Genomic DNA, 10860 nt, shown 5'->3' with positions numbered 1-10860 from the left:
GGTGGCTCACGCCTGTAATCCCAGCACTTTGGGAGGCCGAAGCGGGCAGATCACGAGGTCAGGAGTTTGAGACCAGCCTGACCAACATGGTGAAACCCCGTCTCTACTAAAAATACAAAAAAAATTAGCTGAACGTGGTGGTGGGCACCTGTAATCCCAGCTACTCAGGAGGCTGAGGCAGGAGAATCGCTTGAACCCAGGAGGCGGAGCTTGCAGTGAGCCAAGATCGCGCCACTGCACTCCAGCCTGGACGACAAGAGTGAGACTCTGTCTCAAAAAAAATTAAAAAATAAATAAAATAAAAATACAAAAATTATGGCCAGGCACGGTGGCTCACACCTGTAATCCTAGCACTTTGGCAGGCTCAGGCGGGCAGATCACCTGAGGTCAGGAGTTCAAGACCAGCCTGGCCAACATAAGTGAAACCCCGTCTCTACTAAAAATACAAAAAGTAGCCAGGCGTGGTGTCACATGCCTGTAATCCCAGCTACTCAGGAGGCTGAGGCAGGAGAATCGCTTGAACCCGGGAGGCGGAGGTTGTAGTGAGCCAAGATCGCGCCACTGCACTCCAGACTGGGCAACAGAGTGAGACTCTGTCTCAAAAAAAATTAAAAACTAGCATACCTTGCAGCCAGGTTTCTTGGGTTCGGCCTAGGCATTGCAATTTCCTGGCTGTGCAACCTTGAGTAAATCCCTTAACCATCCTGGTCCCTACCTTCTTCTTCTGTAATATGAAGATAAAACAGTCCCTATCTCATTGGGTTATTCTGAGGACTCAAGGAGGTAATTTATGTAAGGAGCTTAAAACAGAGGTTCCTACACAGTAACACCATGAATCAGCTCTGAGTAACATTATTGTTGCTGGGTTTTTGTGTTCTTTTTTTTTTTTTTTTTTTTTTAGACAGAGTCTCACTGTGTCTCGTCTCACTGCAACCTCTGCCTCCTGGGGTCAAGTGATTCTCCTGCCTCAGCCCCCCAAGTAGCTGGGATTACAGATGTGAACAACTATGCCCAGCTAATGTTTGTATTTGTAGTAGAGACTATGTTGGCCAGGCTGGTCTCGAACTCCTGACTTCAAGCGATCCGCCCACCTCAGCCTCCCAAAGTGCTGGGATTACAGGCATGAGCCACCATGCCCTGCCAGTTCTTTTTATTTTATTATTTTTTTATTTGACACAGGGTCTTACTATGTTGCCCAGGCTGGTCTTGAAAAGCAGGTCTCAAAATGCTGGGAATATAGGCACAGGAAGCTATCTTGCCTGACTTGTTTTTCTCTTCTTCTTTTTTTTTTCTTTGAGACAGTCTCCCTCTGTCACCCCCAGGCTGGAGTGCAGTGGTGTGATCTCAGCTTACTGCAACCTCCGCCTTCTGGGTTCAAGCAATTCTCCTGCCTCAGCCTCCCGAGTAGTTGGGACTACAGGCCCCTGCCACCATGCCTGGCTAATTTTTTTTTTTTTTTTTTTTTAGTAGAAATGGAGTTTCCCCATGTTGCCCAGGGTAGTCTTGAACTCCTGAGGTCAGGCAGTCTGCCCGTCTTGGCCTCCCAAAGTGCTGGAGTTACAGGTGTAAGCCACCGCACCTGGCTTTTTTTTTTTTTTAACAGGGTCTTGTTCTGTCACCCAGGTTGGCATGCAGTCCCACAATTGCATCTCACTGCAGCCTCAACCTCCTAGACTCAAGGAATCCTCCTGTTTCAAACCCACCGAATAGCTGAGACTACAGGTACACAACACCATGCCTGGCTGATTTTTTTTTTTTTTTTTTTTTTTCTGAGACGGAGACTCGCTCTGTCGCCCAGGCTGGAGTGCAGTGGAGCGATCTTGGCTCACTGCAAGCTCTGCCTCCCGGGTTCACACCATTCTCCTGCCTCAGCCTCCCGAGTAGCTGGGACTACAGGCGCCCACCACCACACCCGGCTAATTTTTTGTATTTTTAGTAGAGATGGGGTTTCACCGTGTTAGCCAGGATGGTCTTGATCTCCTGACCTCATGATCTGCCCGCCTCAGCCTCCCAAAGTGCTGGGATTACAGGCGTGAGCCACCGCACCCGGCCTGGCTGATTTTTAAATTTTCACAGAGACGGGATCTTACTATGTTACCAGGTTTGTCTCAAACTGCTGGCTTCAAGTGATCCTCCTGCCTCAGCCTCCCAAAGTGCTGGGATTAAAGGCACATGCCACCTTGCCCAGCTGTTTTTTTTTTTTTTTTCCTTTAACACTCAGTATAGGCCAGACTTAATCCTGAGCCCTGGTGATACAGGAGGACAAGACAGAAAATGCCATGGATTTTACACGGTGCAGAAAACAGACAATAAAAGATAATTAAGGGGCCGCACGCAGTGGCTCATGCCTGTAATCCGAGCACTTTGGGAGGCCGAGGAGGGCAGATAACTTGAGGCCTGGACAATATAGCGAAACCCCATCTCTACTAAAAAATACAAAAATTAGCCGGGCAAGGCTGGGCGTGGTGGCTCACACCTGTAATCCCAGCACTTTGGGAGGCTGAGGCGGGTGGATCAACTGAGGTCAGGAGTTCGAGACCAGTCTGACCAACATGGAGAAACCCCGTCCGTACTAAAAATACAAAATTAGCCAGGCATGGTGGCACATGCCTATAATCCCAGCTACTCGGGAGGCTGAGGCAGGAGAATCGCTTGAACCCGGGAGGCGGAGGTTGCGATGAGCCGAGATCACACCATTGAACTCCAGCCTGGACAAGAGTAAAACTGCGTCTCAAAAAAAAAAATTAGCCGGGCGTGGTGGCATGAGCCTGTAACCCCAGCTACCTCTGGAGGCTGAGGCAGAAGAATTGCTTGAACTCGGGAGGCGAAGGTTGCAGTGAGCCAGATCACACCACTGCACTCCAGCCTGAGTGACAGAGTGAGACCTTCTCAAAAATATTAATAATAATAATAATAAAGATCATTTCACAGTCTTGATTAAGAAGCTGCTAAAATGGGATGTTCCTTAGAGGCGTCAGGGCGGGGGCTTCTGTCTCCAGGGTGGTCAGGGAAGGCCTCCCCGAGTAGGTGGCATTTTTACAGACACCTGAGATGGCGCTGGAGGCGGTGGGAACAGCTTGGTGTGGGGGTGGAGGTTGGGAGTGTTAGAAGCAGATAAAGAGGGTGAGAGTCGTATCCCAGGCTTTGGGGCCCCGGAGGTGTCTGGGGGGTCCTGGCTGGATCCTGGCACCTCTATCTCGCACCCAGGTGAGGAGCTTGGAGGCCGGGGGGCCGTGGGAAGAGACCAGGCCAGCCTTTCCCGCGCCCTCCCCTCCACGGAGCTGCGAGTGCGATGCGGCGTGCTCGCCCTCTGGCGGCGGCTCCCGGGACTGTGCGGCGGCCGCGCCCAGGACACCCGCCTCCCAGAGGCCAAGCCTGGAGGGGCGGGCGTGCTTCCCACCCAGCTCTGCTACATCCCAGCTCCTGACTGTCCCCCAACCTGCCCTTCTGCTGTCCTCTAGACACAGTTAAAGGCAGCTCTGTCCTGCCAGGTGCTAAGGCTCCAAACTTTGGAGAGCACCTTTGACCTATCTCTTTCTCTAACACCCATCCCCGCCCCCAATCTTATATGACAGTAACTCCGGTCAGCTCCAGAATCTACCCAGAATCCGCCCGCTTCTCACCCACTCCTTGTCCCCCTACCTGGATCAGTGCAGTCGCTTCCTTCCAGGTCTCCCAGTTCCCGCCCTGGCCACCGGCCCCCCACAGTTTATTCCCCCCACAGCGGCCAGAGGGCGCCTGTGAGCACCTGAGTCAAGACTGGTCCCTGTGATGAGAACCTTCCATGGCTCTCATCTCCCTCAGAAAAAAGCCTCAGGAGGAGGCCCACAGTGTGACAGTAATTACTAGAAACAATCTGGTAATTTGATTCTATGCTACTTTATTTCACTAAGAATAAACACCTGAGGATGGGCACAGTGGCTCACGCCTGTAATCCCAGCACTTTGGGAGGCCAAGGTGGGTGGATCACGAAGTCAGGAGAACGAGACCATCCTGGCTAACACGGTGAAACCCCGTCTCTACTAAAAAAAAAAAAAAAAATTAGCCAGGTGTGGTGGTGGGCACCTGTAGTCCCAGCTACTTGGGAGGCTGAGGCAGAAGAATGGCGTGAACCAGGGAGGCAGAGCTTGCAGTGAGCTGAGATTGCACCACTGCACTCCAGTCTGGGTGACAGAGCGAGACTCCATCTCAAAAAACAAACAAACAAAAAAAAAGGAATAAAAACCAGGCTGGTCACAGTGGCTCACGCCTGTAATCCTAGCACTCTAGGAGGCCAATGCAGGTGGATCACCAGGTCAAGAGTTCAAGACCAGCCTGGCCAACATGGTGAAACCCTGTCTCTACTAACAATACAAAAATTATCTGGGCGTGGTGGCGTGTGCCTGTAATCCCAGTTACTCCGGAGGCTGAGGCAGGAGAATTGCTTCAACCTGGGAGGCAGAGGTTGCAGTGACTTGAGATTGCACCACTACACTCCAGCCTGGATGACAGAGCAAGACTCTGTCTCAGCGGGGAAAAAAAGAATAAAAGCCTCAGCACTTCGGGAGGTGGAGGTGGGCAGATCACTTGAGGCCAGGAGTTTGAGACCAGCCTGGCCAACATGGCGAAATCTCATCTCTACTAAAAATACAAAAAAAAATTAGCTCGGCGTGGTGGTGCACACTCCTGATCTCAGGTGATCCACCCACCTTGGCCTCCCAAAGTGCTGGGGTTACAGGCGTGAGCCACTGTGCCCGGTCGTACTCCCAGTTACTTGGGAAGCTGAGGCAAGAGAATCGCTTGAACCTAGCAGAGGTTGCTGTGAGCCAAGATCGTGCCACTGCACTCCAGCCTGGATGACACAGTAAGATTCTGTCTCATAAAAAGAAGAAGAAAGAAGAAAGAAGAAGAAGGAGAAGAACAAGAAGGAGAAGGAGAAAGAGAAGAAGAAGGAGAAGGAGAAGAAGGAGAAGAAGAAGAAGAAATGCTGTACACCCATGTTCATAAGATCATTATTCACAATAGGCAAAAATTGGAGACAGCTCAAATGTCCACGTACAGATAAATGGATAAACAAAATGTAGACCATTCTTTTTTTTTTTTCTTTTGGAGACGGAGTCTCGCTCAGTTGCCCAGGCTGGAGTGCAGTGGTGCAATCTCGGCTCACTGCAAGCTCCGCCTCCCAGGTTCACGCCATTCTCCTGTCTCAGCCTCCCGAGTAGCTGGGACTACAGGTGCCTGCCACCACGCCCGGCTAATTTTTTGTATTTTTAGTGGAGACGGGGTTTCGCCATGTTAGCCAGGATGATCTCGATCTCCTGACCTCATGATCTGCCTGTCTCGGCCTCCCAAAGTGCTGGGATTACAGGCGTGAGCCACCGTGCCTGGCCGCTTTTTTTTTCTTTTTTTTCGAGACGAAGTCTCACTCTGTCACACAGGCTAGAGTGCAGTGGCGCTATCTTGGCTCACTGCAACCTCCACCTCCTGGGTTCAGGCGATTCTCCTGCCTCAGCCTCCTGAGTAGCTGGGATTACAGGCACGCACCACCACGCTCGGCTAATTTTTGTCTTTTTAGTAGAGACAGCGTTTCACCACAGGCTGTTCTCGAACTCCTGACCTTGTAATCCGCCTGCCTCGGCCTCCCAAAGTGCTGGGATTACAGGCATGAGCCATCGTGCCCAGCCTAAAATGTGGTCCATTCTTTCAGCCTGACATCTGCAATTGGGAAAAAAAAAATGTGGTCCATTCATACAATGGAATAGCATTCAGCCTTAAAAAGGAAAAAAAAAATTTTTTTTGAGACAGTCTCGCTCTGTCACCCAGTCTGGAGTGCACTGACATACTCACAGCTCACTGCAGACTTCACCGCCCAGGCTCAATTGACCTCCCACCTCAGCCTCCCAAGTAGGAGGGACTACAGGGATGCACCACCATAGCCAGCTAATTTTTGTATTTTTTGGAGAGACAGGGTTTCACAGTGTTGCCCAGGCTAGGAAAGAAATACTGACACGTTGGCCGGGTGCGGTGGCTCAAGCCTGTAATCCCAGCACTTTGGGAGGCTGAGGCGGGCGGATCATGAGGTCAGGAGATTGAGACCATCCTGGCTAATGCGGGGAAACCCCGTCTCTACTAAAAATACAAAAAAAAGAAAAAAAGAAATTCGGACACGTGCTACAACATGGATGAAACTTTAGGATATGCCAAGCACGGTGGCTCACACCTGTAATCCCAGCACTTTGGGAGGCTGAGGTGGGCAGATCACTTGAGGTCAGGAGTTTGAGATCAGCCTGGCCAACATGGTGAAACCTCGAAAAATACAAAAATTAGCCAGGTGTGGTGGCGGGCACCTGTAATCCCAGCTACTCGGGAGGCTGAGGCACAAGAATTGCTTGAACCGGGGAGGTGGGGGTTGCAGTGATCCAAGACAGTGCCACTGCACTCCAGCCTGGGCGATAGAGAGAGAATGTCGAAAGAAAGAGAAAGGAAGGAAGGAAAGAAAGAAAGGAAGGAAGGAAGGAGAGAAGAGAAGAGAAGGAAAGAAAGAAAGAGAAAGAAAGAAAGAAAGACAGAAAGAAAGAAAGAAAGACAGACAGAAAGAAAGACAGACAGACAGACAGACAGAAAGAAAGAAAGAAAGAAAGAAAGAAAGAAAGAAAGAAAGAAATTTTAGGATATTATACTAATTAAAATCAGCCAGCCCCAGGTGCAGTGGTTTACACCTGTAGTCCCAGCTACTCAGGTGGCTGAGGCATGAGAATTGCTTGAGCCTGGGAGGCAGAGGTTGCAGTGAGCCGAGATCATGCCACTGCGCTCCAGCCTGGGCAACAGAGTAAGTACTCTGTCTCAAAAAAAAAAAAAAAAAGGCCAGGTGTGGTGGCTCACGCCTGTAATCCCAGCACTTTGGGAGGCCGAGGCAGGAGGATCACGAGGTCAGGAGATCGAGACCAACCTGGCTAACATGGTGAAACCCCGTCTCTACTAAAAATACAAAAAATTAGCCGGGCGTGGTGGCGGGCGCCTGTAGTCCCAGCTACTCGGGAGGCTGAGGCAGAAGAATGGCGTGAACCCGGGCGGCGGAGCTTGTAGTGAGCCGAGATGGCGCCCCTGCACTCTAGCTTGGGCGACAGAGCGAAACCCTGTCTCAAAAAAAAAAAAAAAAAAAAAATTAGCCAGGTGAGCACCTGTAGTTTCAGCTACTTGAGAGGCTGAGGTGGGAGTATCACTTGAGTCCAGGAGGTCGATTCTGCAGCCAGTTATAATAATTGTGCCACTGCACTTCAGCCTGGACAACAGAGCAAGACTCTGTCTCAAAATAAAAAATAAGCCAGTTACAAAAGGACAAGTACCGTATGATTCGACTTATATGAGGTACCTAGAGTAGTCAAATTCATAGAAACAAGGTAGAATAGTGACTGCCAGGCCGGGCGCGGTGGCTCACGCCTGTAATCCCAGCACTTTGGGAGGCCGAGACGGGCAGATCGCGAGGTCAGGGGATCGAGACCATCCTGGCTAACACGGTGAAACCCTGTCTCTACCAAAAATACAAACAAATTAGCCGGGTGTGGTGGCGGGTGCCTGGAGTCCCAGCTACTCGGGAGGCTGAGGCAGGAGAATGGCGTGAACCCGGGAGGCGGAGCTTGCAGTGAGCCGAGATCGCGCCACTGCACTCCAGCCTGGGCAACGGAGCGAGACTCCATCCGTCTCAAAAAAAAAAAAAAAAAAGGAATAGTGACTGCCAGGGACTGGGCGAAAGGGAAACTGGGGAGTGAGTGTATAGAGTTACAGGTTTGCAAGATGAAAAAATTCTGAGGTCAGGCATGGTAGCTCATACCTGTAATTCCAACATTTTGGGAGGCCAAGGTGGGAGGATAACTTGGGTCCCAGAATTCAGGACCACCCTGGGCAACATATTGAGACTCTATCTCTACAAATAATACAAAAATTAGCCAGGCTTGATGGTGAGTGCCTGAAGTTCCAGCTACTTAGGAGCCCGAGGTGGGAGGACCACTTGAGACCAGGAGATTGAGGCTGCAGTGATATGCCAGTGTACTCCAGCCTGGGCAACAGTGAGACCCTGTCAAGAAAGGAGGGGAGGGGAGGGGAGGTGAGCCAGGAGTTCAAGACCAACCTGGGTAACATAGAGAAACCCCGTCTCTACAAAAAAATTTAAAATGTAGGTGGGAGTAGCGGTTCATGCCTATAGTCTTGCTACTGAAGAGACTGAGGCGGGAGGATTGCTTGAGCCCAGGAATTCAAGGCTGCAGTGAGCTATGACCGAGCCAGGGCACTCTAGCCTGGGCAACAGAGCAATACCCTGTCTCAAAAAAATAAAATTTAAAAAGCAATCATATAGGTCCTCTTCCTTTGTTGCACATTATGCTTATAAGCATCATCCATCTTCTGTGAGAAGATGTAATATTTGCTCTTTCATTCCTGTGTAGTATTCCATTGGCTGAAACAGCATAATTTAGGTGTCCATTCTACTTCAGATGGACATTGGGTGTGAGCTATTTCCAGCTTGGTAATGACATATATATGTGGTGTTGCTATGAACATTCATGTCTTGAGAAAACTGCAGTTATTTTTTGCGGGGGTAGAGAAGGTGTGCGTGTGTGATTAAAAACAAAAACAACAGGCCAGGCGCGGTGGCTCATGCCTGTAATCCCAGCACTTTGGGAGGCCGAGGCGGGTGGATCACAAGGTCAGGCGATCGAGACCATCCTGGCTAACACGGTGAAACCCCCTCTCTACTAAAAATGCAAAAAAATTAGCCGGGCGTGGTGGCGGGCGCCTGTAGTCCCAGCTACTCGGGAGGCTGAGGCAGGAGAATGGCGTGAACCCCGGAGGCGGAGCTTGCAGTGAGCGGAGATCGCACCACTGCACTCCAGCCTGGGCAACAGAGCTAAACTCCATCTCAAAAACAAACAAACAAAAAAAAAAAAACAAAAAAAACGTGGCCAGTCATGGTGGCTCACACCTGTAATCCTAGCACTTTGGGAGGCTGAAGTGGGCAGATCACTTAAGGTCAGGAGTTTGAGACCAGCCTTACCAACGTGGTGAAACCCCGTCTCTAGTAAAATATGAAAATCAGCCAGGCTTGGTGGCTTGCGCCTGTGGTCCCAGCTACTTAGGAGGCAGAGGCTCGAAAATCCCTTGAATCTGGGAGGCAGAGGTTGCAGTGAGCCAAGATTGCATCACTGTACTCTCACCTGGGAGACAGAGCGAGACTCTGACTCAAAACAAAACAAAACACAAATTCGTTTTATTTATTTTGTATATTTTACAATATAAAATATATTATACATTATAAGCAATAACTCCCACTCCTCCACCCCCAACCCCTGGAACTCCTAATCTACTTTCTGTCTCTATGAATTTGACTACTCTAGTTACCTCATATAAGTGGAATCATACAATATTTGTCCTTTTGTGACTGGCTTCTTTCACTTAGCCTAATGTCCTCAAGGTTCATCCATGTCACAGCATGTGACAGAATTATTTATTTATTTATTTATTTATTTTGAGACAGAGTCTCGATCTGTTGCCCAGGCTGGAGAGCAGTGGTGTAATCTCAGCTCACTGCAACCTCCGCCTCCCGGGTTCAAGCGATTCTCCTGCCTTAGCTTCTCGAGTAGTTGGGATTACAGGTGTGCACCACCGCACCCAGCCAATTTTTGTATTTTTAGTAAAGACGGGGTTTCACCATGTTGGCCAGGCTGGTCTCGAACTCCTGACCTCAGTGATACCTGCCTCAGCCTCCCAAAGTGCTGGGATTACAGGTGTGAACCACCGCGTTCAGCCACATTTACATTAAAAAAATAATAAATGCTAGTGGGCTTTTTGTCTGTTTGTTTGTTCAGACAGAGTCTCACTCTGTCACCCTGGGTAGAGTGCAATGGCACGATCTCAGCTCATTGCAACCTCCACCTCCCAGGTTCAAGCGATTCTCCTGCCTCAGCCTCCTGAGTAGTTGGGATTACAGGCGCCCACCACCACGCCCAGGTAATTTTTGTATTTTTAGTAGAGACAAGGTTTTGCCATGTTGGTCAGGCTGGTCTCCAACTCCTGACCTCAAGTGATCCGCCCGCTTCAGCCTCCCAAAGTACTGGGATTACAGGCGTGAGCCACCAAGCCCAGCCTAATAAATGCTAGTTTAAATGTATAAAAGTAAAGTTAAAAATATAATTTTTACGCAGCCATAAAAAATGATGAGTTCGTGTCCTTTGTAGGGACATGGATGAAACTGGAAACCATCATTCTCAGCAAACTATCGCAAGGACAAAAAACCAAACACCGCATGTTCTCACTCATAGGTGGGAAGTGAACAATGAGACCACATGGACACAGGAAAGGGAACATCACACACCGGGGACTGTTGTGGGGTGGGGGGAGGGGGGAGGGATAGCATTAGGAGATATACCTAATGCTAAATGACGAGTTAATGGGTGCAGCACACCAACATGGCACATGTATACATATGTAACAAACCTGCACGTTGTGCACAAGTACCCTAAAACTTAAAGTATAATAATAATAAAATAAAATAAAATAAACTTTTTGAAGGCAAAAAAAAAAAAAAAAGAATAGCATGGGGGAAACCACCCCCGTGATCCAACCACCTCCCTTCCCCGACATGTGGGGATTACAGGTCCCTCCCTGGACACATGGGGATTATAATTCAGGATGAGATTTGGTTGGGGACACAGAGCCAAACCATATCAGTGGCCCTGCCACAGCCTCTTATTTTTGATTTTTCAATGTGTTCATTCAACATGATTTCAGATTATTCATTGGAGGGCTACTGTGTGCACAGAAGACACATGGATGAATAAAACAGTATGGTTTCTGATATGCAAAAAACAAAAATACAATTTTTACCCA

General features: G+C 49.3%; 3 annotated features.

The window, feature by feature from the left end:
* Positions 3226-3405: a silencer, noted in NCBI's record as "silent region_10186". NCBI's record gives its function as "represses an Ori minimal core promoter by ATAC-STARR-seq in GM12878 lymphoblastoid cells {active_cell/tissue: GM12878}" and the evidence as "EXISTENCE:reporter gene assay evidence [ECO:0000049][PMID:35858748]".
* Positions 3446-3665: an enhancer, noted in NCBI's record as "active region_14102". NCBI's record gives its function as "activates an Ori minimal core promoter by ATAC-STARR-seq in GM12878 lymphoblastoid cells {active_cell/tissue: GM12878}" and the evidence as "EXISTENCE:reporter gene assay evidence [ECO:0000049][PMID:35858748]".
* Positions 3786-3835: an enhancer, noted in NCBI's record as "active region_14101". NCBI's record gives its function as "activates an Ori minimal core promoter by ATAC-STARR-seq in GM12878 lymphoblastoid cells {active_cell/tissue: GM12878}" and the evidence as "EXISTENCE:reporter gene assay evidence [ECO:0000049][PMID:35858748]".

The sequence above is a fragment of the Homo sapiens genome, chromosome 19, assembly GCF_000001405.40.
Source record: "Homo sapiens chromosome 19, GRCh38.p14 Primary Assembly".
NCBI lineage: Eukaryota > Metazoa > Chordata > Mammalia > Primates > Hominidae > Homo > Homo sapiens.
The sequence above is the reverse complement of the archived record's forward strand: the minus strand, read 5'-3'. Positions and strand labels throughout refer to the sequence as shown.